At 48.7% G+C, this 18,292-nt stretch overlaps 1 protein-coding gene across 6 annotated transcripts in view, besides 1 other annotated feature; it reads left to right on the top strand.

The window, feature by feature from the left end:
- The window catches only part of NR6A1 (nuclear receptor subfamily 6 group A member 1), a 254,037-nt gene extending 244,239 nt beyond the window's left edge, over positions 1-9,798 (top strand). For all 6 annotated transcript variants that reach the window (NM_001489.5, NM_001278546.2, NM_001410996.1 and 3 more), the window contains 3 exons: positions 173-294; positions 2,200-2,352; positions 4,280-9,798. In NM_001489.5, the coding sequence (NP_001480.3) occupies positions 173-294; positions 2,200-2,352; positions 4,280-4,368 (364 nt within the window). In that variant the 3' untranslated portion in view covers positions 4,369-9,798. The remainder of the gene's footprint in view (positions 1-172; positions 295-2,199; positions 2,353-4,279) is intronic.
- Positions 14,465-15,017: an enhancer, noted in NCBI's record as "H3K4me1 hESC enhancer chr9:127274335-127274887 (GRCh37/hg19 assembly coordinates)". NCBI's record gives its function as "activates a minimal SCP1, AML or CMV promoter by ChIP-STARR-seq in naive H9 embryonic stem cells {active_cell/tissue: H9 hESC(naive)}" and the evidence as "EXISTENCE:reporter gene assay evidence [ECO:0000049][PMID:30033119]".

Genomic DNA, 18,292 nt, shown 5'->3' with positions numbered 1-18,292 from the left:
GCTACGTTGGCCTGTAGACAAAGCATGGATCTGCCTGTACTTCCCAAGTGGCTTTGGATCCCATTTCCCCCAAGCTCAGCCTGTTTAAGGAGCTGTAGGAGCTCTCTGGCTGCCCTTTCCTGGCCCCTACTGGTGTCACAGCCAACTGTTAACACCTGTGTCTGTTCCTCAGATTTAGTGATGAAGGGATGGAGGTGATCGAGCGGCTCATCTACCTCTATCACAAGTTCCATCAGCTAAAGGTCAGCAACGAGGAGTATGCTTGCATGAAAGCAATTAACTTCCTAAATCAAGGTGAGTGGCTGGGGTGGGAAAAGGGACGTTTGCAGTGCGGGAGGCAGGCAGTGAGCATTTGCCCTCCTGTTTCACCCCTCCTTACCCTCAGGACTATCACACAGAATCCATCACACCATCTGGGTTTCAATCCAGGAAGACTTGTGCACCCCCTTGTCATCACCCTGACCCTTATAGTACAGGGAATGCGAGAATGCTTTGGATTTTTTTTTTTCTTCAAACTGAAATGCCACAATCTCTATAACTCATAGAGGAAGGAAGAGGATTCGCTTTGTTTAGTCAGTTTTAATGCATTTGCACACAGACACCAAGGACAGTACATGCGTCATTTTAAATATGTACCAAGTTTACCAGTGACTGAAGAAGAGCAGAGTGACTGATGAAACTGTTGGAGATAAGGCCTCTGTGACAGGCTGGCAGTGGTTCTGACAGCCCCTTCAGGGCAGAGCAGGGGTGCACAAACACACACACACACACACACACACACACATACACACATACACACAATCAAGCATGGCTTTTAATTAAAAGAATGCCAGATGTGATTTATGTGGTATCTTACCTGCAAAGGGGCACTTGGCAGCTGCTGGTAAAACCAGTATAGGGAGGAGGGTTGTATTCTCTTTTTTCCAAAATAGCTAATGTGTACTCTGCTCCTATAGTGGCACTGGGCTGTTCTGCTGCCTGTGGCATTGCAAGTGCCCTCGTCCTGTGTCCCATTTCCAGTCCAGAGCTCCTCTCCTCTTGGCCTACTCACCCCTACATTGGCCAAACCTCTTCCTGCTTTTACACCATTCATGCATTTATCTGGTGTTCTGCATGCTTCCCTTTGGCCAAGCCCTGTGCTGAGCATTAAAGACATTGAGAAAACTTAGACTCAGGTCTCTGGTCTCAAGAAGTATACATTCTGATGGCACTTGACGTATTACTTGTGCCTCAGATTGGGGGAGAACAGTAGCAACTTCTTGAAGAAGGAGAAATCTGAGCTGAGCCTCAAAGGGCCGGTAAGATTTATATATAGAATATTTATGTTCATATTCTATATATAAAAAAGGTGTGTGTGTGTGTATATATATATAGAGAGAGAGAGAGAGAGAGAGATCTATTTAGAAAAAATGGAGGGGCCAGGCACAGTGGCTCATGCCTGTAATCCCAACTCTTGGAGAGGCCAAGGCAGGAGGATCACTTGAGCCCAGGAGTTTGAGACCAACCCAAGCAACGTAGTGAGACCCCATCTCTACAGAAAATTTAAAAAATTAGTTGAGCATGGTGGCACACACCCTGTAGTCCTAGCTTCTCAGGAGGCTGAGGTGGGAGAATCTATTGAGCCAGCTGCAGTGAGCTGTTGATCACACCACTGCACTCCAGCCTAGGTGACAGAGTGAGACCCTATCTAAAAAAAATGGAGGGACAGCCCAGGAAGAAGATTAAGAACAGAAGCGCATAGGAGGGTGCTGTGTGTGTGTGTGTGTGTGTGTGTGTGTGTGTGTGTGTTTTACAAGCATGAATGTGTAGGTATTGGCAAGGTTTCTGATTGGTTCCAGCGAAGGGCAAATTTAAAGATATTGTGAAGGATTAATTTGGAAAGGTAGGTTATTCAGTCATTTGTTTAGTGTTTACTGGTATTCTCTGGTTGTTTTGGGAGTTTGGTATGAAGTTGAGAGAAGCCTTAACCCTCGAGGGGCTCTGTCTGCTTACTGTCCTCTGTATTTTTTTCCTCTCTCTCTTCATTTCTCTTCCCTTAGGTAGAACTTAGTTCCTCCCTATCAGAGGAGATCTCCTGTTGTGACAATGTTTAGTAACTTAGTTGAAAAATGAACATATTTAAGGAGCTGGTGTTTCTTCCACATTAGAATGCCCATCCCATTCCCTGTATGTGTGTGTGTGTTTTTTTTTTTTCCACAGATATCAGGGGTCTGACCAGTGCCTCACAGCTGGAACAATTGAATAAACGATACTGGTACATTTGCCAGGATTTTACTGAATATAAATACACACATCAGCCGAACCGCTTTCCTGATCTCATGATGTGCTTACCTGAGATTCGATATATTGCAGGTAACATTCTGGGTCTTGGGCTCCCAACCCTTCCTTGCTTCTCTTAGCTTGTGAAGGGAATGAGGCAAGCAGTGTTTTCAGGGTGCTCTTTCCAGCCCATCACCAACTGCATGAAAGAGTTCTCACCCTTGCCCTCAAAAAAGGTCTGTTATAATGAGAAGCTTGCATTCTCCATAGAGAAGAGAAGTTAATTTCCTGAGCTCTTATGATATGCAGGGTACTTTGTGGCCTTATATCATTTAATCTCATACCAGTCTCCGCTGGTGGTTGGCAATATTATAGCCATTTTATGGATGAGGAAACAGAGACTCAGAGTATCTCAAATTAACTTAATTTCTTGAATTGTGTACTTTAAAAGAGTGAATTTTATGATACATGAATTATATCTCAATTTTTAAAATTATCTTAATTTCACAGAATTTCCCATGAGCTTTGAGGGATCATTTATTTAAAGTGATATCTTTAGCTGGGCACAGTGGCTCCTGCCTGTAATCCCAGCTACTCAGGAGGCTGGGGCGAGAGGATCAGTTGAGGCTAGGAGTTAAGACCAGCCTGGGCAACATAGTGAGACCTCATCTCTAAAAAATTTAAAATAAGAATAGGAAAAATAAAGTTTAAAATCCTGTATTTGCAGAGGAATTTTATGTATTGGGGTGTGTGTGTATGTATGTATGTTTCTATGTGGTCTTGACCCCTTCTGAGCTTTCTGACATTTAAATAGGTCTATTTCAATATAAAATCCTGGCTTTTTTGGTTGTTGCCTTGCTTCATGTGGTAAAGATTCTTGTTCTGGCTGTCCAGCAGATACTGAGGGGCAGCTCAGAAATGTGACCTATAGACCGGGATTCTTCCTGTAAAATTCAGCAATACAGTTTTTTAATTCAACATAAAAATTCTGGAGAAAGCAATACGATTTTAAAGGAAAATTATTTCAATCTGACAAGGGAATTTTTTTTTCTATTTCTTGGGCCACAAAGCAGTCTAGCAAATGTGAGCTGGGCCTAAACTATTGGAATTTTAGGGATATTTTGACAGTTTGTCTCAGTATTTTCTAAGCTAGAGTTTACCACATGAGATATTAAGCAGGCACTCTGTGAAATAAAAGGAAGTCAACAATTACATGCCACTCTCCTCCATAGAACTGGGTCCTCAGCCTTGGCGGCACTTCCAATCACCTGGAAAACTTAAAAAAAAAAAAAAAATCAATGTTTGAGTTGCACCTGGAGAATTCTGGTTTAATTGGAATGGGGTAGAGCCTGGAGATAATCAGTGTTTTCGAACGGCTCCCCAGGTCACTCAGAGGTACTGTTTGCCAGAAGAAACACAGCCTTAGGTATTTATAAATTATATTAGCACACTGAATGCTCTGAGAAGTCCTTCAATCAAGAAATCTGTAAAGCTCTTTTAACCCTGAGTTTCTCAAATGTATTTGCCTCTTTACCCCTGCTTCTTTTTCCCCTAGTACTTTTATTAACCTATTAAACCATTCTGAAGTGCAATATTTTATAGAATATTACTTAGAAAATCTACCGGGGGTTGAGGGGGTGAAGAAAACAGGACAGAAGTTTTTTGGACTACCTGTCAGTTTCAGCTTCCTTATCTATAAAATGAGGGTAAAAAGTAGTACACAGAAATAGTGTGAGAATTCAACGAGGTAATGCATTTAACCACCTAGAACAGAGTTAAGTATTCCCTGAGTAGTAGAATGATGATGAGTTGGCACCATTACTAGGCTCCCTGGGCACCCAAAGGGGTCTGGATGTTAGGATGTTAGCCCAGTGTGTCCAACCTTTGTGATACTCCTGGCACTTCTCTTGCCCCAGTCACTCAGCAAGGTGATACTCTGCCTCCACCAGCCCAAGGAGGCTGACTTGCCTGTCCACTAGAGTGACCACTGCTAACTCTTCTTCTCCCCCCTTGTTCCCAGGAAAGATGGTGAATGTGCCCCTGGAGCAGCTGCCCCTCCTCTTTAAGGTGGTGCTGCATTCCTGCAAGACCAGTGTGGGCAAGGAATGACCTGTTCCAGGCGCCCTCCTCAGGCCAACCACAGCGTCTTGGGTGGGCAGGACAGGCTCTGGAGGGAAAAGCCAGAGAGACCAAGATGGAGGCTGTGGAGCAGCATTTCCCGTTGCCTCCATAGCAAGAAGAGTTTTTGTTTGTTTGTCTGTTTTTTTAACCTCATTTTTCTATATATTTATTTCACGACAGAGTTGAATGTATGGCCTTCAACATGATGCACATGCTTTTGTGTGAATGCAGCCAATGCATTTTCTTACAGTTTACAGAATGTGAAGATGTTTAATGTTACAGTGTTGTCATTGTTTAGAAATAGTTCTTTTGTATTTTGAGGGAGAGGGTGGGATGGGGCTAAGATGACTATTTCCATAATGTTGACAAAGATGACTACCTCAATGGAAATGGGGGGTGTGGCCATCCCTACTTTTTCCACATTTTCTCAGCAGACTCATACATTTGTCTGTCAGAGAGCAAATTGCCTTTTTTAGCCACAGAATTGCCAGATAAAACGGCACACTGTAAGGGGGCAAAGTGTTGTTAGGAGATTCACTAAGCAAGGTTGGTGAGACGGCAACAGGGTAGGAGGTGAGGATTGAGCCACGTCCTTTCCTTGGAAAGCGTGAAAATTAAGAGAGTAGGGCACAGTGACCATATTTAAGGCAGGTGTCCTTCCACCCAACAAGTCCTAAGGGCAGAAGAATTTCTGTTCTCACACCTTGCTGCCCCCCTTACCCCTGCACCACCATCATTGTCTACCACTGCGAACTTTCCATCTAGGCAAAGTCCTGGCAATCACTTGATCCACAGGACTCGCCTCCCAGCTCCCTCGGGGCCCCCAGCTACCTAGTTTCCTTACCTGGATCTCCTGAGGCCCACCTTCCTCCTTCCCACTCCCTTACACATTTGACTTCCTATTGGCCCTTTGAAAAACCAGCTGAGCAGAATGCCATGTTCTGAAGCCTGGTGCCCACTACTGATTTATTCTCCTTTCACCTTGTTTTCTTCAAAGGGTAGTAGGGCAAGGCCAGACTGCAAAAAGAATAGACACTCCCCTTTTGAAATCTGTTCCTCTCCCCTCCCCTTCCTACCGCACCCTCAGGTCTAAATCCGAAAACTTCAGGCTTTTTTAAACAATGAGAAGGACCATTCACCTGTCTGCTGACCAGAAATGTTGCCCCTAAGTTCTTCTCCAAGTTCTCCTTTTCTCTCCAGAGTGAGACCAGTTTTCCTCAGGGACCCAGGACACAAAGCCCAAGGCCCAGAGTGGCTCAGCTGCCCCTTACTTCAGCAGTGGACTGGCCAGCCAAGGCCTGGAGGGCTGGAGCCAGAAGCACCTGGAAGGGAAGGGGGGCTTTAAACTACCTCAGGTTCCTAATGGCCCGGCTGCTACCTCTGCAGACATGGCCTGGACTCCTTGACCTCTCACTACCTGCCCCACCTTATCCCAGGACGTGTTCCTTACCCTCTTGACTTTGGCCAGCGCTACACCAGGTCTGTCTTTGAACTCTTTCAGGTGCTTGTCCTGCCTACACCCAGGTATCTTTCACAGCCAGTGTGGCAAGCAGACCACTTAGTTGGCTGCATGCCTGGGTAGGTTGGAAGGGCCCACGGCACCTTCTTCTGCCTATTTAGTCAAAGGCTGTTTGCTGTCTCCTCAACTCAACCTAGTAAAGCTACCCAGGAGGGCACCACGTCGTGTGCATACTGGGTAGTCCATGTCTGATTGTAATTGTTTCTTTCTGGTGAAATGTTACGGGTACCAGCAGAGTGATGATTTTGGCCCTTGATGGATCTAAAACTCGGAACATTACTCCTCAATGCCGTTTCCCCAGTTGCTCTGAGAAGGAAGAGACATGTTCCTCAGGAAAAGCTCCAGCTAGCATGTTTTTCACGTCAGTGGGAAGATTCTTGTGTGTTCGTGTGTATCTGTTTATTTCTAAGTTCACGATACTTGTTCCCCTGAATTTTATTTAACCAACTAGATCACATTCTTTGGCCACAGGTCAGACTCTGAGCTGCTTTCCTCCAGATCGGGAAGGAGACACATATCACAGATGCCTTCTCTAAGACAGCTCCTGTGTACAGCATCGTTCTTTGCTGAGGCCTCTATCTGTCCAATTATTATTTTTGAAATTGCTTTTCAAATTAAACATTTTACCCGTTGTGTTGGGTGTCAAAAGAAATTGCTCTCTGATGAGGCAAGAACATGTCTCTCCAACAACGTAGTATTGAACAGAGCAAGTTGTTAATTTGTGGAGTAGGGGAAAGGTTCTGCAAGTTGCCATTGTACAAATCCAGTTTTACAAATGTTTGCAGCAGATTCCACAGAACAAAGAGCCCATTCATTGCCGAGAGCCCTGCAGAATCTCAGAGCAAAGTGGCTGTGTGTTCCGAGCCGGAGCCTGACCTGTGGACCGTCTTTAATGTCTTCTGCACCAGTCCTTTTATGACGTGGGCTTTTTTTAAACAGGGTAAAGTGAATGTGTTGCATTGCAAACTCAGGTATTATGAGGAGAAGGTAGGAGTGTAGCTAGCAGCGTGGAGACATTAGGTCAGCCACTAGATGTATTTGTGAATTTGGTTTGAAGGACACGGAGAAAGGTTGGAGGGGAGGTTTGGTGTGTTTGTTTTTTGCTTTCTTCCCCATAATGTTTGGTTAACAGGTAGCCTTTTTGCGAGTGGAAGGAGAGAAAAGTTGTGCATGTTTTCTCTAATTTCTCTTTCTGCCCTCTCTCTGATCCCCAACCACCAAAAGCACTCACTTTGAGTGAGGATTTTTTTTTTTTTTTTTTTTTTTTTTTTTGAGGCGGAGTCTCGCTCTGTCGCTCAGGCTGGAGTGCAGTGGTGCGATCTTGGCTCACTGCAAGCTCCGCCTCCCGGGTTCATGCCATTCTCCTGCCTCAGCCTCCTGAGTAGCTGGGACTACAGGCGCCCGCCACCACACCCGGCTAACTTTTTTTGTATTTTTAGTAGAAACATTGTTTCACCACGTTAGCCAGGATGGTCTCCATCTCCTGACCTCGTGATCCGCCTGCCTCGGCCTCCCAAAGTGCTGGGATTACAGGCGTGAGCCACTGCACCCAGCCGAGTGAGAATTTTTATGCCATAAAAATACGACTCTGAAAGCTACATGGAAAAGGAGAATCCCACCTCCTTGCACTACATTGAAACATGCAAGCCTTTCCCTCCCTCTCCTTTTTGATGTTTTCTTGTCCCAAGACAAAAGTTTGGCATCTTGGAACTTATTCATGCTCTCTGGCTGCCTTTGTAGACTTTTGGAGTCCTTTGCAAGGTTTGGTGGTCTCGTCGTTAATCTGGAGAAATTCCCCAGAATCTGTCTCAAAGCGCTCAACCTGGCTCAGAGGACACCCAGCCCCTATGCCCCACTCACAAGAGAGGTGGGCAAGCCCCCAGGGATAGGAGGAAGTAAGCAGGATCCTCCCTGTCCTGTTTCCCAGAACCAGAGCAAGGAATGGGGAATCCTAAGGGTTTCTGTGGCATCACTGAATGTCACCCACTCCACATCAACCTGCCTCTCACCTGCCACCCTTTTTCAGGGAGGTGAGTACCTGCCATGGTCACTGTTACCAGATCCTTAAAATCCTGGGCTCTGAGCTAGGTGCATTGCTCTGTTACCCATTTCCTACATTTGTTTGTTTGTTCTTGATTTCCTGGGGGAATGGGACTGATGGAGACAGACAAACCCACTGTGGGCAGCATCTAAGCCATGTCCAAGGTTGGTCGAATTAAGGGAACCCTGGCCTCTCAGCAGGACAGAAAGCTGAGCTGTGGTTCCAGGCCCTCCTCTCTGGGCCCCTGGTGTGTATCTTTTTTCCTTGTTGCTTTTGAAATTTTTGCAATTATTTTAAGAATCCAGTCTTTCAGACCAGCCCTTTTATTAAGCTTTGAATTTTTAATTGATTTTTTTAAAGTAAAAAAAAAAAAAACCCAAAAAACAAACAAAATTTAACAAAAAAATCCGCTACTCTTACTCCCCTGCCTCCCCCTACCCCAGCCCATGAGAGTTCCCTTGCACTCCCCTCTGCCTTTGCAACTGATCATCCTCCCTTTCTCCTTGGCTTGAAGCATCTATGTCCAGTATCTGTGAAATGATGTTTTATCTGTGTGTCAGGATGAGAAACGGCAGTCATTCCACCAAGTGTTGGAAACTGGTTAGCCTGGAGACAAGGGTTTCTGGGGCCACAGCTCAGGGATGTGTATTTAATTACAGGATCCCCAGAAACTCCTCTCTAGGCTGCCACAGCAACATTTTTTCTGGGCTTGGGAGCCATACCTGAACTGTTTCCTCCAAGGCGGGAACTCCAGAGAGCCTGCCAAGTCTGGAGCAAGCTGGGGCTTCTGCTTTGGCCAGACCTGGGCCACCATGAGACTTGAAGGCTTCTAGCTGTCCTACGACACGAGCCACGGTGGCCCTGCCTCTCCCCGCTCATAGAAGCCTGGTCCCTCTGTCTAGCCCAGTTCCCATCTAGCATCCGTCTTCTGGGCCTGAAGCCCTAAATGGACCACAGCCTGCACAGGAATCAACTGTAGGCTCAAAGGGAGGCGGTGAGTAAGGTCAGAGCCTGCTCCAAGCCCAAGAACAAAAGTTGTGTTATGGGTGGAGGCTAGTCCCCCAGATCTAGCCCTGCCGTCTTTGCCCTTTAATGACCATTGTTTTCTTTCTCTAAAATGTCTTGTAATAGGTGATAATGTTGTTGATTCAAATTTCCATGAAAAAGAAAAAAAAAACTACCTCTTAAGCGACATCCTGGTCGATTCCTCTCTGAGGAATCCTGTGGGAAAAGAATACTGTAGCTCCTGCTCTGTTTACATGTTTCTGTCGGGAAAGAAGCCCCGCCTGCCCTGGGGTGTTGGTGTTTTTGTCTGTGTTGCCATCCCAGGTCTGCCATAGGGGCTGGTGGCTGCATTGTGATGTCTGGGCTGTGTCTGGGGATTCCTTCCCACCTACCCAGCCAGGGACTAGTCACCCCCCTGAAGAGGCCTCCATTTCCTTCCTGTGCTCCAGGGCATAGGGAGCACCACTCCCACAGACACCACCTTTAAGGGCTCTAGTGGCACACACATCCACGAGCCTACCCCCAGGTTACCTGCCCTAGGTCCACCTCCACCCACAGTCCTGTGTGTAGGAATCGAGGAAACGGGATGTCCCTGAGCCCTTGTCTCCAAAGGGCCGGCCAAGGGCTGCCCGCCAGCCTGACTCCATCAACCCTCCATGACCAAATGATAGCTGGCGGGCTCTGCAGGCTACCCAGGCCCTCTGCTACCTCCCACCCTGCCAGCTGGCAAGGGATGGGCCCTGTTCTGTGAATTGACTACCTGTGGAAATGTGACCAATTAGTGTGAAATGCATGTTTAGCAAGTGTTAGGTACTGTATTTGAACCAATAAATGTGAATCCTTCTGCACATGGCATCTGTCTGTGAAGCTTGTCTGGGGTTCTGGGGAGGGATGATGGCGTGTCCTGAGGCGCCGGCTTGTGCCTTCAGACCTGTGTCTCTTGCTCATAGCTGACACCCACCTCAATTCTGTTGCTGAGGCTCTGGCAGAAGGTGGTGTCTCGGAACTGCCTGAATCAATGAACCAGCACTGACTGAAGTGCCCAACTTGTGTGCCAGGCACCATATTGAACTTCAAGGATTATTCTGTTTTATAAGTGAAGAAACTACAGTTGAGTGAGGTGAAAAGACTCTCCCAAGGTGAGTGGCACAACCAGAGAAGTGAGCCTAGTGGAGAGGCAGATACAGACTTTTGCAGTGCAGGGGGGATGAGGTTGTCATTAGGGATGTATGTGGGGTTGTAAGGGCCTGGAGAAGGAGTGGCTTGTTCTATGGAGGATAGTCAGGAAGAGCTTCACAGATGAGTGTTGTTGAAGGTGGCCCTTGAAGAAAGTCACGAGGCAAAGGGATCCACAGGTAGGCCAGGTAGAGGGATCCATGTCCAAAGGCCTGGCTGTGTATCAGAAAGATGGGAGTGTTCAGGTAAAACAAGGGACTGTCATGGCAAGAATGATGGCAGGTGGGAGGGATTAGCAAGAGTTGAGGCTGGAGAAGCAGTTGGGAGCCTTGGATGCCACATTCAAGAGTGTGGGGAAAGAAAGCTGTTTGCTGAGTCTTGGGCAAGAGAGCAGCATCATAGTGCATGAGAGGCCAATGGATGGCCTAGGATGCACTGTGCTCTAGCAAAGTAATACTGTCTTTCCAGAAAATAGGTGAGGTCTATTAATAGCTTTTCTAGAGCTGAAAAAATGGAGGCTCTAAGAGATCAAGGGATGTGGCCCAAATCACACAGGAGTGTTAAGTTTGTACTTGAACTCAGATCTGCCCAACTGTCCTGTAGGCCTGCTCATATGATCAGAGAAGTGGCAGAGTTTGGGTTGAGGGGTGTATGAAGACAGATGGGAGAGATGAAGGCTTCTCAGGCTGGGAAGATAAAGGCTGAGGAGGGTTTGATCAAAGTCTATTAATCCTCTTGTGTGAAATGAGGGAAGCCCAGCTGCCTTCCCATTCCTCAGCCTCCAGCACAAGAAACCAGAGAGCCCTTGAGTTTTGAAAGAGATGGGTTTAGAACAAAGCAAATGCTGCAGAACGAATTAATAGACTGTCTTCCTTGCCCCCACAAGAGGGAACAGATACACAGAGGTGCCGGGAGGAGAAGGGACGCATTGGCCCACCGCCTCGTGAGTCCAGGCGCCGTAATTGGTGCTTCACGCATGTCGTCTCAGTAATCTTCATAACAGCCTTGCAAGGGGTAGGTCTCAGCCCCATTTTTCTAATAAGCAAATTGAGGCTCAAGGAAGTTAAGCCTTTTGCTTCAGATGACACATTAGTCAGTGGCAGAATTGGCTTTTGAATCCAGGTCTATCTGATACTAAAGTTACAACTGGCTTCCTCCCTGCTCAGCCTTAGCAATTCAGTAGTGCTGAATGTGGATATCCAGAGTTTGTAGCAAAGCTCAGTAATGGCCTTTGGGTGAACCTTTTGCCATAGAAACAAAAAAATAAAAAACATTAATAAAGGATTAATTCTGTAAGAGGTGGATGAACAGACCCAACCAAAGTGAGCTGAAAAGCGGTGCTGCCCAGTCATGTGGAATACTGCAGGCGCTACATTGGTATGGCTTCCCAGAGCTCAGGAACCTCCCCCCCACCCCACCCCACCCCCAGAGATGGTTCCATGGAAGAAGCCTGAATTCTGTTGCCAAAAATATGGGAAGTGCTGCACTCGCTCTATCATCCTCATTGATTCTCAGCCCTTACTGGCATATTAAAGTCTCGAGAAGTCCCACCTGAAGAAAACTAATGTTGTTTAACCCAGGTTCTACCAAAAGCATTTGAGCATTGGACATTTTTGCCTCCTGTTAAAATTCTGTTGGGATAATATTCCATGGAATAAAAGGACACTGCTCTAAATACATAAATTGCTGCTTATGTGACACTGAGCTTTCAGTTTCCTGGGTGCCAGCCAATAATATGGAGGAATAATAAAGTAACATCTAGAAAACAAAGCAAAGCTCTGTGCTGAGTATTTTGTGTGCATTAGAGTACTACTGATTCCCCAGAGCAACCCGGTGAGGTTAATGCTATAATGATCCCATATTACAGATAAGAAAACAGAGGCCCAGAAAGGGTAAGTCATTTGCTTGAGGTTACATAACTGGCAAGATGTCAGGAATGAATATAAACCAGCATCGATTGAGCACCTACTATTCGGCAGGATCTGTGCTGTGATTCTTATCCTTGTGCAAACCCTCAGAGGTACGTAAGACCATCTGCATACCTGAAGAAACAGGGAAGGCTGGCTACTCCGAATTAAGTCAGAGTCTGAAGACAGAAGCCCCTGGAAATGATGGCAGGGGAAAGTGCTGGGATGAGGTTGAGTCTGACTACACAGAGCTCTTTCCAGGGGTCGTTTCCTTCAAGCAGTCTATGAGACAGCAGGCACGTCAACCAGAGATCTCACCACCTGAGTTCTCATTCCAGCTCTTGCCCTTCCTGGTTGTATGTGACCTTGACCCAGACAGATGCTTCTCTGATCCTCACTTTCCCTGTCAGACAAATGGAGGTGCTGGTACCTGTGTCCTGGGGGACAGGGGGCAGTGTTAAGGAAGATTGAGTGTGGCTGGCTTAAAGTTGGGTCTCAGTGAAGTCAATACATGAAAGGAGGCTAGGTACGGGGAGCTGTCGCCCCTACACCCCAAGAGCAGAAACTTAGCAGAGCCAGGAGCCTTGGCCTGGCTGCCCATCAGGGTTTTAGGTCCACAGTGGTAATCAGTCTCTCAGATCCTATGGCAAAAGTGCCCAACTGCCAGACCCGGGGCTCTTGGAGTCTTGTTCCCTTGGCAACAAGTCTCACCATGGAGACCACAGCCCCATCCTTGCCCTCCCTGCATGCTGCCTCTCCACAAACCCTTGTTCAACACCCAGTCCTAGGAGCAGTGTAGGTACTGAGGAGTGCTTCCAGGAGGCACTTCCTCAGGTGAGTTGGAGGCAAAAGGAACTCCCATTTTTTGAGTGTCCACTTTATGTGTGGCAAGGTCCATAGGCATCAGCTACATACGTGGTCTCGTTCAGGTTAAAAGCCACGTGCTCACCCTGTTTTCCGTAAGTGGAAACTGAGGCTCAGGGAGGCAACATGGACCAGCCCAAAGTCTCACGGCTAGTCGGTGTTGGAGCTGAGACCTGAATCCAGGGCTTCTGACTCAGGAACCCATGCTTTTTCTGCAACTCCCCATTCCCACCCATGTTACCAAGACAAAGCCTCCAGCCACAATCTGAGGAGGGCTGGGTACCCGGGCCTCTGCCAGCAGCACGAGCAGCCAGCCAGCAGCCCTCTGAGGTCTGGGCTGGGCCCAGCACCATTACAGGAGGAACTGTACTATTTTAAGCCAGGGCCAGAGGGCCCCTTGTGGGCACAGGGAGGGTAGCCTGGGGCCCTTGGCCAGCTTCCCGGAAGTCCCCATGGCCTCCCTTTTCTCCCGCTAGCAGGTTTGTGAGGCAGTGACTTCCCTACAAACAGGAAGGAGGCTCTCAGGCTGGGAGACCTCCAGCCCCAGCTTCCTCCCCATTGCTGCCACCCCCAGGCTTCTCCACTACATGGGGGAGCCCTCCAGCACCAGGCCCTATCAGTGTCCATCATCCAGGCTGACTCCTAGCAGTGGGTGGGAGGGGGCCTGAATTTGGGCTCCCTGGGCTGCCCCAGCTCACCCACTACAGTTCCAAGGTCTCTGCTTTCTGAAGCCCTTTGTCCCTCACCCAAGCCCGAGTTCTCATAGACATTCCCACTCAGCTGGCCACTGTGAGCTAGAAAGAAAAGTGTCAGTATCCTTAGATGTGGCCCCATTCAAGGACCCCAGAGAGAGAAAAGAAAAACAGACTAGGCGGCTGAAAATAGCAGAGAGAAACAAATTAGAACATGATTAAGATACCGACAGTGACAGATTCATCGTGACAGAGATGAAAGCAGAGACAAGCGAAGAGACACCAGAGATGGCTGTGCAGGGCTGGAGCCGAGAGCAGGGGGTGGTGCAGCATGATGGCTTCTGACCACCCTCCAAGCACAGGCCCTGTCTCGGGGCTGTGGGGGCGCCCACCGGCTGCGTGGCTGAAGTGGAATGTGGGGAGCAAGGCTGGGTCACCCCTTGAGGGCCAAGCGTGTGCACCGAGAGATAAGCTACCCCAGGCTGGGGGCCCCAGCTGCACTGCACGCTCCAGGAGCCTGGTGGAGAGGCCAGACCCAAGGCTGGAGCCCAGCTCTGCCAGATGCCACCTTCTGCACCTCCTACGGGGGCTCCCCCAGGCCTCATGTTCTAAGGGTCCCAGGTCCTCTGCCCAGCCCTTGGGGCAGCAGGTTCTGGGTGCATCCAGTTCACAGAAGAGCAGTGTGGGCCCTAGGAATAGTACCAGCCACAAAGAGGCTCCTATCTTGCTTCTCCAGTGCGGGCTGCAGTCCTGGGTCAGGAGAGAGGTCGGGGGGGTAGGGGCCCTAAGCTGAACACGCAGAGCAGGGGCTCTAGCAGGCTGTGGGGTGCTGAGGAGAGCTGTGGGGGCGCAGCTCTTCACTCTGTGAGCTGTCCCCATGTGGCACTGTGCACTCATGTGCCTGAGTGTGTGTCCATGTGCTTTCTCGAATGTGCAAAGATGTATGTGTCCACGTGTTGCCAGGAGCCCCAATCTGCCTCCACAAGTCCCTGCTCTCAGTCTAGAGAACTGGCCCCAGGGGCACCTGGCCTTTCCCATCCCCACGAGGTGGTCCAGCCCAGAGAGCCACCAGGCAGAGGGGGAAGAGCGAGCAGGTCTATTGCAGGCCCCTAGCCCCCCTCCCCACACTGCAGCTGAGGCTCCCGCTGGCCACGGCCTTGACCCAGCACTATGGACTTCTCTGACATTGGCATCGGATCTGAACATCTGGCAGCAGGCTGATAAGGGGTGCAGCGGAAACAGCCTCTGCTGCCGCCAGCAGGCCCGCCCCCTCCGCTGCCCTGCACGGGGTCTCCACATCCACCCTCCCTCCACCTCCAGCTCTCCAGGCCTCGGCCCTTCCCGCTTCTCGTTCTCTGCCTCAGTCTCTCTCTCTCCGTCTGAATCTCTCTCATCCCTACTCTCTCTCTCTTCCTCATTTCTTCTCGCTCTCATTTCTTCTCTCCCCAACCCTCACCACTCTGAATTTCTCTGTCATCCTCCCTCCCTCCGACTGCGTCTCCCCTTTCTCTCTGTGTTCATATTTTCTGCCCAAGCCTCTGCAGCTTCTCTCTCTTTTTCTGGCCACCTTTCCACTCTGCAGCCTGATGATTCTGTCCCTCTCTCTGTTTCAGTTTCTGGGCCTCTGGTTTGTTTGTTCCTTATCCCACCTCCAGGAAATGGGCCTGGCACTTTGGGAAAGTCCCCAGTTAGGAGAGAGACCCTGGGCTTTGTTTGCCTGGGGAGGGAGGTTGGGGGCGCCTGAGTCAGGACTACAGCCCTCCTTTGCTTTCCCCTCTGGGTAGGTCTAGTGGCCTGGGACCACCAGGGCTAGAGCTTGAAGGAAAGGACAGGCCACCCAGGGGCTCTGGCAGGGTGGAGAGGAGTCAGCCTGCAGGCCTGGGCTCTGGACTCCACTGCTGGGATTTGAACGCTGGTCCCATCACACCCTCGCCTGGTGACTTTGGGAAGATGCCTGGTCTCTCTAAGCCTGACTTTCCTCCTCTCTTAACTGCTGCTATCGGGGGTTGAGAGGGAATTACTACCTACCTCCCAGAATGCCGGAGAGGTTCGAGACTGACTGCAGGTGTGGAGTGGTTAGCTGGGGACCTGGCACATAGGGGGGCACTTCTGAGTTGGGGCCTTGCCATTCCCAGCACGCTGGTAACCCCTGGCTGCCCCTGTCCCCATAGAGCACCCACTTTGGCTGAGGGTGGGAGGGGGCAGCACAGAGGAAGGGGGTACCAGTGACTGTGGCCAGGGTTGGTTAGGGGATGAGGAGCACCCAGCCTTGAGTGACAACTGATGCCGTCAGAGGAGACAGGACCCATGGAGCAGGCAGCAGAGCTCTACCTACAAGTGCGGAGGAAAGTGGTCATTCAGCAAGTTCCAACGCTTGCTCCACGCAGGCTGCTGTGGACCCAGAGATAAATCAGGCCTTTCCTGGAGGCTTCCCCAGGCTGAGGTGAGGCGCTCATCACAGAAGGGCAAACGGTGTCCATGATGATGTTGCAATCTCATACTCAACAGGGAAAGGGCCTCTGAGGACAGATCATCCAGTCCTTCAGCTGGTTGTTTGTTTGTGTTTTGCTGACACTTATTGAGCACACATGACATACCAGCCAGCCACTGAATACATTACACGTATTGTCTCCTTTCATCCCCATTTTATAGAGAAGAGAGAAGGCCCAGAGAGGGGAAGTGACTGGTCCCAGGTCACACAGCTAGAAAGTGGTAGAACTGGGATTTAATCCAGAGACTCTGCCAGCAATTCTCCTTCTCAGGGCTCAAGGACTCACCAGGAGACTAGGACAAAGCCAGGCTGGTTCCTTCTATGGCGTCATGGTGTGGAGAGAGACCTGTTTGTCTTGTTTAAGAAGGCGGACAAAGCAGACCCCACTTCATAAGGTCGCCTATTAAATGAGGTGCAAAGATTCATGATTTTGTTATTGTTACATGTATGTGACATGTTAGTGGTGGGTATTTGCTGGGATATGTGTGTGTGTGTGTGTGTGTGTATATATATATATATATATATATATATATATATATATATTTTTTTTTTTTTTTTTTTTTTTTTTTTTTTTGAGACAGAGTCTTGCTCTGTTGCCAGCCTGGAGTGCAGTGGTGCAATCTTGGCTCACTGCAAGCTCCGCCTCCTGGGTTCACGCCATTCTCCTGCCTCAGCCTCTGGAGTAGCTGGGACTACAGGCGCCCGCCACCAGGCCCAGCTGATTTTTGTATTTTTAGTAGAGACGGGGTCTCACCGTGTTAGCCAGGATGGCCTCGATCTCCTGACCTCCTGATCCGCCCGCCTCGGCCTCCCAAAGTGCTGGAATTACAGGCGTGAGCCACTGCGCCTGGACTTGCTGGGATATTTCTTATTAAATTCAGAGGGTGAGTGATATTAGTCCAGAAACAAAATCATTGCATTAAAATAGGGACACTAGGCTAGGTGCGGTGGCTCACACCTGTAATCCCAGCACTTGGGGAGGCTGAGGTGGGTGGATCACCTGAGGTCAGGAGTTTGAGACCAGTGCGGCCAAAATGATGAAACCCTGTCTCTACTAAAAATACAAAAATTAGCCGGGTGCGGTGGCGGGTGCCTGTAATCCCAGCTACTTGGGAGGCTGAGACAGGAGAATTGCTTGAACCCAGGAGGCGGAGGTTGCAGTGAGCTGAAATTGTGCCACTGCACTCCAGCCTGGGCAACAAAGTGAGACTCCATCTCAAAAAAAAAAAAAAAAAAAAAAAATAGGGACACTAAGGCCAGGTGCTGTGGCTTACGCCTGTAATCTCAGCACTTTGGGAGGCCGAGGCGGCCGATTTCTTGAGCCCAGGAGTTCAAGACTAGCCTGGGCAGCATGGCGAAACCCCATCTCTACAAAAGAAAATACAAAACTTAGCCAGGTGTGGTGGCATGTGCCTGTAGTCTCAGCTATTCAGGAGACTGAGGGAGGAGGATTGCTTGAGCCCAGGAGGTCGAGGCTACAGTGAGCTATGATGGTACCACTGCACTCCAGTCTGAGTAACAGAGCAAGACCCTGTCTCAAAAGACATAAAACAAAATAGGGACACTAAAAAAAGAATATTAAAATAGGGAGACTAGTTAGGTTCAGCCATATGCAAGAGAAGTATATCTTGTAAGAACTTCTCTAGGTGAAAAAGACATAATTACAAGGTCATGCACATTGAGGAATAAGTTGTCTGTTACGTTGTAGGTGGAATATATTCGATCAGTTAGCTATGACTGTTGGTGAAATTATATTATAAAAATTATTATTATTGAATTAATGATTATTAATTATTAAAACCCTATTGCCCGGGCTAGAGTGCAGTGGCACAATCATAGCTCACTGCAGCTCCAACTCCTGGGTTCAAACCATCCTCCTGCCTCAGCCTCCCGAGTAGCCGGGACTACAGTCTATCAGTATTATTGTTGTATGTTCACACACAATTTTAAGTGGCATAATGAGGAAAACACACACTAGGTTTTATTTTATTTTATTTTATTTTATTTTATTTTATTTTATTTTATTTGAGACGGAGTCTCACTCTGTCGCCCAGGCTGGACTGCAGTAGCACAATCTTGGCTCACTGCAACCTCTGCCTCCCAGGTTCAAGCGATCCTCCTGCCTCAGCTTCCCAAGTAGCTGGGACTACAGGCACAAGCCACCACACCAGGTGAATTTTTCTATTTTTTAGTAGAGATGGCGTTTTGCCATGTTGG

The sequence above is a fragment of the Homo sapiens genome, chromosome 9, assembly GCF_000001405.40.
Source record: "Homo sapiens chromosome 9, GRCh38.p14 Primary Assembly".
Lineage (NCBI taxonomy): Eukaryota > Metazoa > Chordata > Mammalia > Primates > Hominidae > Homo > Homo sapiens.
This window is presented reverse-complemented; position numbering and strand designations above follow the sequence as displayed.